General features: G+C 45.3%; 1 protein-coding gene across 25 annotated transcripts in view, besides 6 other annotated features; it reads left to right on the top strand.

Annotated features, from left to right (window-relative positions):
• Window positions 712–1212: an enhancer, noted in NCBI's record as "H3K4me1 hESC enhancer chr15:77208865-77209365 (GRCh37/hg19 assembly coordinates)". NCBI's record gives its function as "activates a minimal SCP1, AML or CMV promoter by ChIP-STARR-seq in naive H9 embryonic stem cells {active_cell/tissue: H9 hESC(naive)}" and the evidence as "EXISTENCE:reporter gene assay evidence [ECO:0000049][PMID:30033119]".
• Window positions 1213–1713: an enhancer, noted in NCBI's record as "H3K4me1 hESC enhancer chr15:77208364-77208864 (GRCh37/hg19 assembly coordinates)". NCBI's record gives its function as "activates a minimal SCP1, AML or CMV promoter by ChIP-STARR-seq in naive H9 embryonic stem cells {active_cell/tissue: H9 hESC(naive)}" and the evidence as "EXISTENCE:reporter gene assay evidence [ECO:0000049][PMID:30033119]".
• Window positions 12050–12550: an enhancer, noted in NCBI's record as "H3K27ac hESC enhancer chr15:77197527-77198027 (GRCh37/hg19 assembly coordinates)". NCBI's record gives its function as "activates a minimal SCP1, AML or CMV promoter by ChIP-STARR-seq in naive H9 embryonic stem cells {active_cell/tissue: H9 hESC(naive)}" and the evidence as "EXISTENCE:reporter gene assay evidence [ECO:0000049][PMID:30033119]".
• Window positions 12050–12600: a biological region, named in NCBI's record as "H3K27ac hESC enhancer GRCh37_chr15:77197527-77198027".
• Window positions 12291–12600: a silencer, noted in NCBI's record as "silent region_6692". NCBI's record gives its function as "represses an Ori minimal core promoter by ATAC-STARR-seq in GM12878 lymphoblastoid cells {active_cell/tissue: GM12878}" and the evidence as "EXISTENCE:reporter gene assay evidence [ECO:0000049][PMID:35858748]".
• SCAPER (S-phase cyclin A associated protein in the ER) overlaps window positions 12396–12724 on the top strand; it is a 557437-nt gene continuing 557108 nt past the window's right edge. For 22 of the 25 annotated variants that reach the window (NR_148227.2, XR_007064448.1, XM_017022273.2 and 19 more), the window contains exon 1: window positions 12396–12437. Coding sequence is in view for 2 of the 25 variants with exons in the window: in XM_047432623.1 (XP_047288579.1) it covers window positions 12533–12543 (11 nt within the window). In the remaining 23 variants the exon portion in view is untranslated. Of the gene's footprint in view, window positions 12544–12724 lie in introns of all 25 variants that reach the window. The other 3 variants (XM_047432623.1, XM_047432622.1, NM_001353010.2) reach the window with 1 other exon arrangement.
• Window positions 12611–12720: a silencer, noted in NCBI's record as "silent region_6691". NCBI's record gives its function as "represses an Ori minimal core promoter by ATAC-STARR-seq in GM12878 lymphoblastoid cells {active_cell/tissue: GM12878}" and the evidence as "EXISTENCE:reporter gene assay evidence [ECO:0000049][PMID:35858748]".

The raw sequence follows: 12724 nt of genomic DNA, 5'->3' as shown, positions 1-12724 counted from the left end.
ACTACGGCTGGGACTCAAAGATCTCCTTGGGGTGACTTCTGGTACTTCCAAGGTCCGGCGGCAAAGTTCTCTAGTAACAACAATCTCACGTGGACAAGACCATCAAGGGCTCTGATCCTTTAGGAATGAAGATTTGGGTCATTGTATCAGGTAATAAAACCTGGCCAGCTCCTCTGGGCAAAGAGAACATGAAATGGGTGGTGGAGGAAGGAAATTAGAAATACCAATTACAGTCTCGTGACTACTTACAGAAATAAAGATTGAAGGTTCTCTAATTTTCTGCATTGTTCAATCATGTATATATATTTAACTAATTTTTTTTCCTTTTTCTGTCCCTTTTCTTCATGGCATGCAGCTGGTGGTTAATTTTACAATTTCGTTTATGTGTTACAGAATACTGAGATAGGATCATAATGGAACCAGAAGAGGACTGAGTATCACTCAGAGATTCTGTACAAACTGGATGTAGCTGCCAATGAGGTTATCACCCTTTTAGGGAAGGGATGAGCACATTGTGCTTTTATAAGGAATAGTAGCATCACGATAATTGGCAATAATTTTTCTTTCTTACGAGAACAGGGGTTTATGTTAGTGTTGGGTTTGCATAGCAAAGAAGTAAACTCTGGTGAATATTGCCAAATTCTGTTCCATCTAGCATCTGTTTTCTTTTTGATATTGGAAGAACTCCCCACCTTAAAGTGTGCCTCCCACTCTAGAAGCTGAAAATGGCATATACTCTCTCTCCTAGCCTTTCTTATAGTTAGAGTACATGATCTAGGACCCCCCCCCCCCCAACAAATACAATCTTTCAATTCTCTGAATCAGAGTTAGACACAAGAGGACTGATAGGAGCTCTCAAACGTCACCAACATCACGGGAAGATCAAATTCCCGTAGCAGTGCTGCCTTCACTGGACCAATTCTGGTGTGGGAATTTTGGGTATCGTTTCTGGTTGAATTGTCCTGAGCTCACTGAGACTGATTCTCCAGCCCTCCTAGAAATTCTGATGTCACAGGATCCTTGGGGTGTCGCTTAACCAGCTGGAAACCTCTGCGGCTGGCGGCGCGTTTCTGCCTATTGCTCGTTCCTGCTGGGCTTGTTCCACCCACTTGGCCTGGCAGGCTGCACTTGGTTACACTACCAGCCCGGATCCCACACCTGCCAAGTGTGAGCCAGGGGCGGAGCAGCAAGGGTTGTGTGTGGGTGAGCAAGCACGGGTCCAGCCACTGAACACAGCCAGGCACAATGGCTGCAACAGTGCAGGCAGCTCCAGGTGCCAGCACAGGTGCCGGCTCCACGCCATGCTGCAGCTGGACCAGAAGTACTGCGTGCAGCTTCCGCTGCAGGCACCCATGTCTGGGTGAGAGGAACGCGGTGGCGCCCAGAAGCTTGGAGACACCAGGAACGGCAGAACCCCAAAGAGGGAGTCACAGCCCTGGCCCAGGGAACCCTTAGGTCCAGGTTCCCCGAAGGGCCAAAGCTCCCAGGTCTAGGCTCCCCAAAGGGCCAAAGCTCTTCTGCCTTCACAACATGGCGAGTAGGGGGGATGTTTCAGCCCTGTTTGTGTTATAGCTCTTTTAGTCCCACCATTTGGTGGGTCCCGAGTTCTTGTTCCACATCTATGGACCTCATGGACTACCTCATAGATGGAGAGGCGCTTCACTGAAGGCAGAGAGGCAACAGAACAGTTCTCAGAAGAAAGCGGGCAGCTCCTTTCCTTTCCACAGGCAGGTCTGGGTCATCCTGACAAGTGTCCGGCCCTCAGGTGGTGCTCTAGTTATGGCTTCAGTAGTCCAATCCACCAGTCTGCCGGGTTACTTGTTCTCAGGTGTTGGGGTATGTGATAATATTAGTGAATTCCAAGAACACGAGCCAGTTTCTCTTGCTTTCAAATGATATCTTTGGAGAGAAGCAACAGTGTATAGGATATCATGAAAATGAATCACAGCATCATGACATTTCATAAGTCCACAGATAGTGATGCTGGCAGAACCATTTTGAATAGGGAAAGTTTAAAAAAAAAAGTGTCTATTTCAGTGAGGACAAATCTCTGCCCCTCCATGATGGAAGAGGTCCAATATAATCAATATGTCCCCTGAATCCCAAGGAATAGTGCATTCAGGAGCTCACTGTTGGCTTCTCTTGTTGGCAGGCTGCGTTTTCTGCCTTGGAGAGGGAAGTCCATGTTGTTGATCCCATGGATAGCCCCATCCCTGTTGCCGTGGTTAGTTACATATGGGCCCACTGAACAACAACTGGTGTAGCTGAATAAAGAAGCTGACCAATATCTACAGAATGGATCTTCTTGCCCATCTAATGATGACGATGATGATCATTGCTATTATTATTTGAGACGGAGTCTGCCTCTGTTGCCCAGGCTGGAGTGCAGTGGCGCAATATTGGCTCACTGCAACCTCTGCCTCCCGGGTTCAAGCAATTCTCCTGCCTCAGCCACCCAAGTAGTTGGCACTACAGGTATGTGCCACCACCTCCGGCTAATTTTTTGTGTTTTTAGTAGAGACAGGGTTTCACCGTGTTAGCCAGGATAGTCTCGATCTCCTGACCTTGCGATCTGCCTGCATCGGCCTCCCAAAGTGCTAGAATTACAGGCGTGAGCCACCGTGCCTGGCCTGCCCATCTGATTATAGAAAGCCTATTCAGTGGATGCCATTTTGTAAGCATTCGTATGGGTCACAAAAATCCTCATACAAAAATCCTGTCTCCTTCCAGGTAAAGAGGACGTCCTAATATACGCTCAAAGTTTTCCACACCGAGAGGATTGCCTTTCATCATTTTTTCAGAGACACTTATCAGCAGAATGGTAATACTGTAGTAGTCCACTTCCAGCTGATGCCAACATATTGTACAGATCCATCTTTAAATCAGCCTTAAGTTTTTTTTCCCCCCTCTGATAACTGGTTATAGGAAATTCCTTTTGAGGCCTTAGAGTCTGAGCCACCTCCCTATGCAACTTACTTGTGTCCTCCTGATCTTCTAAAGCCTGACCTTTTATACGGCACTTTTAATTGATGATGGATTTTTGCTGTGTATGCACACCCAATCTTATGGCAGTTCATGATGGGCAGCTCAGAGCCCATTGATCTTGATGTCATCAAAATCTAGCCTTTAATAGAATCCAGTGCTCTTTCAGCAAAAAAGAGCACAGCATTGTGTCGAAACCCTGGGATTCTGTGCTTTGGACCCCTATTTTGCCAGAGGATCCATACAGCATCCTTACTTGCCATAGACGCTTTGGGTTTTCTGAATTATTAGGCTTGAGTAGCAAGATAGCTTGCCTAGCACCCTGGACCTGCTACAGAGCCCTTTAATTTTCTGGGAGAAAAGGGTTCTCAGTAAGTTGTTTAGAGAAATACACCCAAATGTGGTATATGTGCCTCTTTCTTAGTGTTAGGATGTGCAAGATGCAGAAAGTTGTCTCTTACTATAAGTTACAGTAGGGATTCTTGATCTCAATCTTGTTATTTTGGGCTTGATAATTCTTAGTTGTGGGGAGCTATCCTGTGCATTGCAGGATGTTTATCAGCATCCTTGGCCCCTACCTGAAAGATGCCAGTAGCCACTAATTTGCCTACCCTCAGTTGTGACAACTAAAAATGTTTCTATACATTTCCTGCAAAATGTTCCCTAGTGGACACAATCACCTGGTTGAAAAACACTGCTATGCAGGGATATGCCAACATTCCTTTCACTGAATTTTTACGTCTCTGGCATGCATGTGCCTTACTAAGGCATCTAGAATATTTGCTACTTTTTGTTCACCAAGCCAATCAGCATGATGTTATCAATGTGGTGGATCACATGATGATGTTCTATGGCATGTCTAGATGACGAAGGTCTCTGTGAACTAGACTGTTACAGAGTTTGAGAGCTGGCATAGCCCTGAAGTAAGACTGTGAAGGTGAATTGCTGTTTCTGACAAGTAAAAATTTGCTGCTTTCTGATTTTTCCTGCTAGTTGATATGAGGGGAAATGATTTTCCAGATCAATAGCTACATAATAGATGGCAGGACTATGTTGATTTGTTCCAGCAACAATACCGTATCTAAATTGGAAGCTGCAAGTGAAGCCACCATCTAGTTTTGCCTCTAGTCAAACACAGGAATTATGCAGAAGTGTGATGAGAATCCTTACTCTTGTATCTATCAAGTCTTTAAGGGTGGCAATAGTTAATGTCTGCAATTCCCACAGGGATGTGGTATTGTTTTTGGCTTACCATTTTGTTAGAGAAGAGCAGTTCCAGTGGTTTCTACTTGGCTCTACCTAACCATAAGAGTCCTCTCTTTATGGGTCAGGGAGCCAGTGCAGGGATTTTGCCAGTTGACAAGTATGGCTAGTCTAAATAACTTCAGAGTGGGTCTACAGAACCTATTGAGCCCTATGAGTGATGGACTTGATTATAAATTTCATTTTCTACTTGACCACCCAAAGCTCTCAATCTATCCAGGGGTTCTTAAGGATTAGCATAAACTCAGAGTAGTGTGTAATAATCCTTCAAAGCCTAGATATGTCCCTTTCCTCAGGGCACACTCATCCTGATAATAGCCACAGGTCCTTTTGGGACAGGCTTGGAGAAATATTTATAGTATACAGTTGTGACAGTGTTGTAGTTTCTTTCCTCAAGGGGACTCAGTTTCTGCTTCAATCCCTGGACCCTGCATATGTGAAGCAGTTTAGGTCTGGGAACTAAATGAGAGGCTACAATTTCCTTTTGTGGCAACTCAAGACAGGTTTCTGCTCACTTGACCTACAGTTTTGCCAGTTGCATATATCAAGTAATAATTCAGCAGGCTGCCCATCTATTTTATTCCTAGGGACCCTGTCATGAGTTAGCACCCCCACAGATCTCTCAATGTCAAAACTTTCTGACTGCCTGCTGCCCATTATGGTAATTGTGCCTCCCTGTCTCTGTTGGTTAAGTATTACTACATGGCCCTTGCCATGATGCCAACATTCCCATAGAAATCAGATAACTGTTTCAATCATCCTTAGTCCAGAAAGGACAGCCATTGCAGAACTTTTGAGGATGGCTACGCTTCTCTGACTAATGTTTTCTCAATGCTTTAGTGCCCTCTGGGTCCTTCCAGGAAACATAGTCAGGAAGTGGGTGAACAGGTTACACATAATAAATCCACTCCAACCCTCTCATAACCTTGATCCTTTTGTATATGACCCTGTAGTTTGACTTTTTTTTTTTTTTTTAAATAAAACCCTTTGCGCTGGGCGCAGTGGCTCATTCCTGTAATCCCAGCACTTTGGGAGGCTGACGCAGGTGGATCAAGAGGTCAGGAGTTTGAGACCAGCCTGGCCAACATAGTGAAACCCCGTCTGTACTAAAAATGCAACAAATTAGCTGGGCGTGGTGGCGGGTGGGTGCCTGTAATCCCAGCTATTCGGGTGGCTGAGGCAGGAGAATCACTTGAACTCCGGAGGCAGAGGTTGCAGTGAGCCGAGATCGTGCCACTGCATTCCAGCCCAGGTGACAGTGGGAGACTCCGTCTCAAAAAGCAAAACAAAACAAAACAAAAAACCAAACCTTTGCTTTTTCCACGTTATATGAGATGTTCTGGCATCTCAGCTCAGCTTCATTGAATGTAGGCCACCACTGAATCCTAGTTTCAGTCATTCAACCAAGCAAACCATTAGAGATGCTTCCACTTGATTTACTTATTTATTTATTTATTTATTTATTTATTTATTTTTGAGATGGAGTCTTGCTCTGTCACCCAGACTGGAGTGCAATGGCGCAATCTTGGCTCACTGCAACCTCCACTGCCTCCTGGGTTCAAGTGATTCTCCTGACTCAGCCTCTCGAGTAGCTGGGATTACAGGCATGTGCCACCACACCTGGCTAATTTTTGTATTTTTAGTAGAGATGGGGTTTCACCATGTTGGCCAGGTTGGTCTCGACCTCCTGACCTCAGATGATCCGCCCCCCCTTGGCCTCCCAAAGTGCTGAGATTACAGGGGTGAGCCACTGTGCTCAGCCCCGCCACTCAGTTTAGCACATTGAAAGGAGAACCTCAGGTAAGGACATCCATATTGTAAGTTTAGGCTGGTCTGTTATCGTATTCTATCTTTTCTTATAAAACACCCTTAGAATCTACTCCCATAAATGTTTTTCAGGTTACTGCTGATGAAAATACACGTTTTTGCAGTGGTTTTGGTGTATAAGTTTCTTTTTCTTGGAATAGACCTTACATTTCTCTCCTGAGTCACTAGATTTGACTTTAGAAGTGGGTCTGGGGCCGGGCATGGTATAGTAAACAGTTGAGTGGATTCTTTTTTTTTTTTTTTTGATATGGAGTCTCGCTCTGTCACCTAGGCTGGAGTGCAGTGGCGCCATCTTGGCTCACTGTAAGCTCCGCCTTCCAGGTTCACGCCATTATCCTGCCTCAGCCTCCCGAGCAGCTGGGACTACAGGTGCCTGCTACCACGCCCAGCTAATTTTTTGTATTTTTTAGTAGAGACAGGGTTTCACTGTGTTAGCCAGGATTGTCTTGATCTCCTGACCTCATGATCCACCCGCCTTGGCCTCCAAAGTGTTGGGATTACAGGCATGAGCCACCGCGCCCAGCCGAGTGGATTCTTGTTCCTTGCTTTCAAAGAAGACTAACTATTGAAGTTCATACAAAATGCTATGGAAGCCCAGAGGAAGAAGCAACCAAGCCTGTTGCCAAAGTTCAGGAAAGGATGTCTAGGGCAAGTCCTAGAGGTGGGTGGGAGTTGATCAGGTAGCAAAAAGGAGCAGGCACATTCTGGAGGGACTCATGTGTGGAAGTCAGGAGGTGGGAAAAGACAGGGCAGCTGAAGCAAAGTGGGTAGTTATACAGTAGCACCCACCTCATATGTTTGTTGTGAGATTAGATGACAAAAGAAACATTATAGTTGGTACAATTTGACCTCTTTCTCTATGCTAAGGCTTTCTAAGTGCTTTCTAAAAATTGATTCATATTAATACTCACAAAAACCTTTGAGGTGTATTTTATTGCTCCATTTTACAGATGATGAATGTAGAGTTTAGAGAGTTTTAGTAATTTGCTCAAGGTTGCATATTATGTTATCTGTCTCCAAATTCAGGGTCTTAAACTGCTGTAGGATACCACTATTCTATACTTCAAGTGCATGGATTTCTCTATGTGCGTTAAATATAATCCATGAAAAGTCCATGCTAATATCCATTTAGCATAATGCCTGCCACATAGTAAATGCTTACTAAAATTCAATTACCTTTATCTCTTAGTACAGCATAATGACTCAAAGAAGGGCTTTGGAATGAAATGAACCTAGGTTCAAATTCTGGTCCTACCCCTTCCTAGCGCCAGGAAAAGTAAATCTAGGGTCTTTGTTGATTTGTAAAATGGGATATGGCACCTAATTCTTAGGGTTGTTGTCAGACCAAATATATATATATGTGTGTGTGTGTGTGTGTGTGTGTGTGTATCTGACAACAAAGCACAAGACATGTGTGTGTACACATGCACACACGCATATATGTTGTGGGCATAGAAAATATTTAGGCAAAGATAGCTATTAATATTATATTAATCCAGTAATAATGAATACTTAGGCTAAGTCAGGTTAGGGGGAGGGAGAAAGAGAGAGGAAGAAGTAAATTCCAGGGCCTGAATGCATTTTATTCTGTCTGGAGGATAGGGTGGTTGAGGGAATGGCCTAAAAATGAGGCTGTACAGGTCAACAAGCCTGATCTTCAGGGCCTTGTAGGCCATGTCAAGGAGCCTGGAGGGACAGTGGAGCCAGTCACATAGGATGAGTGTGTCCTCTAGGCCAGGCTATGTTATGATGCAGTAACAAATGTCCCAAAGCATCTGAGTGGCTTACAAAAACAAATGTTGTATTAGTCCATTTTCACACTGCTATAAACAAACACCCAAGGCTGGGTAATTTATAAAGGAAGGAGGTTTAATTGACTCACGGTTCTGCATGGCTGGGGAGGCCTCAGGAAACTTATAATTATGGTGAAAGGGGAAGAGTCACATCTTATATTAGGGCAGGTGAGAGAGAGAAGAATGAGGAGCAAAGGTGGAAGAGGCCCTTATAAAACCATCAGCTCTTGTGAGAGCTCACTATCATGAGAACAGCATGGGGGAAACCGCTCCCATGATCCATTTACCTCCCACCAGGTCTCTCCCTAGACATGTGGGGATTATGGGGATTATAATTTAAGATGATATTTGGGTGGGGACACAGTCAAACCATATAAAATGCTACATATCCACTGGGGATCAGCTGCAGTTCTGCTCCATGTCATCTCTAGTATGGAACTTATGCTGATGGAATAGCTTCTCTCTAAAACAAATTGCTTGTGGCAGACAGAAAAGAGACATGATGAACGCACAAGCTAGCTCTTATAAATTCTGCTTGGAACTGACATTCCTGCTTACATTTTATTGGCTGAAGCAAGTTACCTATCTGCCATCAGTGGGGCCAAGGCAGCAGCACATCACGGAGGGGAACCAGACTGTTTGGCATATCATTAATAGGAATAGATTTTGTGGCAAAAGAAAATGAGTGGTAACCTGATTAAAAAATTGGCAAAGGATTTCAATAGACATTTATCTAATACCATACATAAATGGCCAATAAGCACATGAAACTATGCTATCAGGGAAGTCCAGATCAAAACTACAATGAGATACCACTTCACATCCACTCAGATGGTTGTAATAAAAAAGACAGACAATGGTAAGTGCTGGAAAAGATGTGGAGAAACTGGAACCCTTATATGCTGCTGGTGGGAGTATAAAATGGTGTAGCTGGTTTGGTAAATCATCTAGCAGATCCAGAAAAATTTAAAAATACAGTTACTATGTAGCCCAGCAATTCTACTCCTAGGAATATACCCAAAATAAATGAAAATATATATCCCCACAAAAACTTGTAAATGAATGCGCATAGCAGCATTGTTCATAATAGTCAAAAAGTGGAAATAGTCTGTATGTCCTTCCACTGATGGATAAATAAAAGGTGATTATATATTCTATACAATGGACTATTATTCAGCCTTAAAAAGGAATGAAGCGTTGATGCATGCTACAACGTGGACATACCTTTTTTTTTTTTTTTGAGATGGAGTTTCACTCTGTCACCCAGGCTGGAGTGCAGTGGAGCGATCTTGGCTCACTGCAAGCTCCACCTTCTGGGTTCACACCATTCTCCTGCCTCAGCCTCCCCAGTAGCTGGGACTACAGGCGCCCACGACCACGCCCAGCTAATTTGTTCTATTTTTTAGTCTAGACGGGGTTTCACCTTGTTAGCTAGGATGGTCTCGATCTGCTGACCTTGTGATCCGCCTGCCTTGGCCTCCCAAAGTGCTGGGATTACAGGCGTGAGCCACCGCGCCCAGAAACATACCTCGAATATATGCAAAGTGAAAGAAGCCAGTTACAAAATACCACATCTCATGACTCCCTTTATACAAGGTGTCCGGAGTAGGCAAATCTATGCATAGAGAAAGTAGATTAGTGGTTGCCTATGGCTGAGAGAATTGAGGGAAAATGGAGAAGTGAGTACTGGGTTCCTTTCCGGGGTAAAGAAAATGCAGTGATGATTGTACAATTGTGTGAATATCCTAAAAACCACTGATTTGTATGTAGGTTACATCTCAATAAAGCTGTTTTATATGTATATAAGAAAGATGAATCATTTTTATTTTTGTCATATTTATTTTTATTAATTCAAGTGGAGATGACCAGTAGGTAGTTAACAATGTGGCCTGGATCCCAGGAGTAGGAATCAGGGCTGGGGATATATATTCGGAAATCCAGAGCATAAAGATGCTAACCAAAGTTATGTAAAAGGCAGTGGTCATGTAGAGAGTGTGTCCAGTGGGAAAAGAGTGAAGGCTTATACCTATTCCTGTGGGATAACAATATTTAAAGGCTGGGAGAAATAAGAGAGACTTTAAAAGAGATGGAGAGGGAGTGGTTAGAGATGGAGAAGTGCTACCAAGAGAGTAAAAATGAAAGGCAAGGAAAAGTATTTCCAGAAGGAAGGAGGGTCATGAAGAGAAATTAAGTTAGGTAATGATGATAATGTCCATAAGATATATAGTAGGGAAATCCCTAGTGACTTTTTTTTTTTTTTTGAGACAGAGTCTCGCTCTGTCGCCAGGCTTGAGTGCAGTGGCATGATCTGTGCTCACTGCAACCTCCGTCTCCCTGGTTCAGCGATTCTCCTGCCTCAGACTCCTGAGTAGCTGGGATTACAGGCACATGCCACCACGCCCAGCTAATTTTTGTTATTTTTAGTAGAGATGGGGTTTCACCATGTTGGTCAGGATGGTCTCGATCTCGATCTCCTGACCTCGTGATCTGCCTGCCTCGGCCTCCCAAAGTGCTGGGATTACAGGCGGGAGCCACCAGCCCAGCCCAACTTTTTTTTTTTTTTTTTTTTTAATTGAGATGGAGTCTCGCACTGTCACCCAGGCTGGAGTGCAGTGGCATGATCTCAGCTCACTGCAAACCTCTGCTATCCAGGTTCAAGGGATTCTCGTGCCTCAGCCTCCCGAGTAGCTGGGACTATAGGTGTGCGCCACCGCACCCGGCTATTTTTTTTTTTTTTTTTTTTGTATTTTTGGTAAAGACAGGGTTTCGCCATTTTGGCCAGGGTGGTCTTGAACTCCTGACCTCAGGTGATCCACCTGCCTCAGCCTCCCAAAGTGCTGGGATTACAGGCGCGAGCCACGGCGGCTGGCCCCTAGTGATGTTGGAAAGAATGGTTTCAGTGGGGTGGTGGGGCAGAAACCAGAGTGCAGTAAGTCCAGACTTGAGTAGTGGTTGAGGAATTGGAGGCACTCTTGTTTAGATAATTGGAGAAATGTATTATAGGAAAGAAAGCAGAGGTTGAAGTGGAGTCTGGTAGGTTCGGCGGGAGATTTCAAGATGGGAGAGACTTCAGGTTGTTTACATGCTTATGAGTATGAAAGGAAGTGGGGATAATTAAGAAATGAGGCCCTGACCGCCTTTTATAGAATTGTAGTATGCTCCCTACTCTATCCCCCTTATCCTACTCATTTTGTTAACTGTAGTGCTTATCATGTTATATAATTTACTTATTTATTGTGTTTACTATTTCTTGTGTTAAAAGCAAAATATTAGCCAAATTAAACAGAGTTTGAGCAAAGAATTATTCCCGAATCAGGCAGCCTCCTGAGCCAGAGTAGGTTCATACAGACTCCCGCAGAGCCACATGGTGGAAAAAGGTTTATAGACAGAGAAAGAAAAGTGAGGTAGGGAAACAGCCAGAATGGTTATAGCTAGACGTTTACCTTATTTGAACACGGTTTGAACAGTTGGCCGTCTTTGGCCAAAACTTGGTGATTGGCGCAAGAGTAGGTTGCAGTGTATTTACACCTCCATTTAGGTTATAGTTTACTATTTACGGAGAAACCTTCAGGCTGAACTTAAAATATGTAAGGACACAGCTTTTGGCTAAACTTGATGTAACACTTGCCTGGTTTCACCCTGCTCCAAGAAGCCGGAGGTTTTTTAGAGATTTCTGTTTATTTTGCTCACGTATTAACTCCAAGCATCTAGAATACCATCTGATATATAGTATGTGGTCAATAAACATTTGCTGAATAAATGAAAAAGCGAGTTTTCTAAGAAGGCAAGAGAGAAGGGGAGCCAGAACATAGCCATATGGTTCCTGCCCCCACAACGCTTGTGAGTCCAGGACTTCCCGCCTACTGCGGGTGGGGAGGGAGAGGGAAGGGTAAAGAGCTGTTTCCCAGCTGGATGAAAAGGGACGGTGAATATTCGTTTGATAATTACAGTCTGCATTGAATCTTTTTTCTATTTTGTTCAGACTGATTTAAACGTTAAAGTATTTAATTCATCATATGTTTGTCTTTGAAGTAGATGAAACGTATTTGTTAGGTCTCTGTACTTCGACCTTCCAAGCCTGGCACACAGAAGGGCCCTGATAAAGCTTCTCGGAGGCCTAGTTGTGTTCAGCGCAGCCCAGCGTGCTCCTGTCAAGTGCTTTCGCCAGCACAGATTTCTGTGAGGCGCGTCTCTAAGTCCTTAATCTGTGGATTGACTGTGGTGATAAGGCAGGAGGAGGGAAGAGATTGAGTACGAGAAAGACCTGTGTGGCCAAAAGCGGCGGTGTAAGCTTAACCTAGGAAAAGAAACAGCTTCGGAAACGCCGCGCCGGGACATCGAACCAAATCAACCCTCACACCTCCCGCCTGGGCGCCCCAACGGCGCGAACGGGCGTGCGCCTGCGCGCGGACAACACAGATCTTGCAGCCGGGAGCGGCGCGGCAGCGGCTGAGATCACGTGGTGCGCCGGGAAGCCACCCCGCCTCTCCGAGGCCTCCCTGCCCCGCCCCGTCACGCCCCTTTCCCGGCGGGACGCTTTGAGCCGCCCCGAACTAAGCAGGGCGGTCGGGGGTGAGTGTCCGCGAGGGGCGTGCGTAGCGCAGACCCGGGCGGGTCCGGGTTGGGGCGCGGGCCGTCTGAATGCCTTGCGGGGACCAGGGGACAAAATGGCGGCGGGGTACGCCCTTTCACCCCCTCCCCTCACCTGGGAGTGCGAGTTGAGCGGGGCAGGGATCGTTGCTGGGGGAGGGGAGCCGCGGTCGCCTGGGGAGGGCTCGGAGGTCGGCCTCGGAGGCCTCGGGACGGGGGCTGGGGTGAGCCGCGTCCGGGCCCTGCCCTGCGGGCTCATCTGGGGTGTG

The sequence above is a fragment of the Homo sapiens genome, chromosome 15 (assembly GCF_000001405.40).
Source record: "Homo sapiens chromosome 15, GRCh38.p14 Primary Assembly".
NCBI classification, from domain to species: domain Eukaryota; kingdom Metazoa; phylum Chordata; class Mammalia; order Primates; family Hominidae; genus Homo; species Homo sapiens.
Note: the sequence above shows the minus strand (reverse complement) of the source record. Positions and strands in the feature narration are given on the sequence as shown.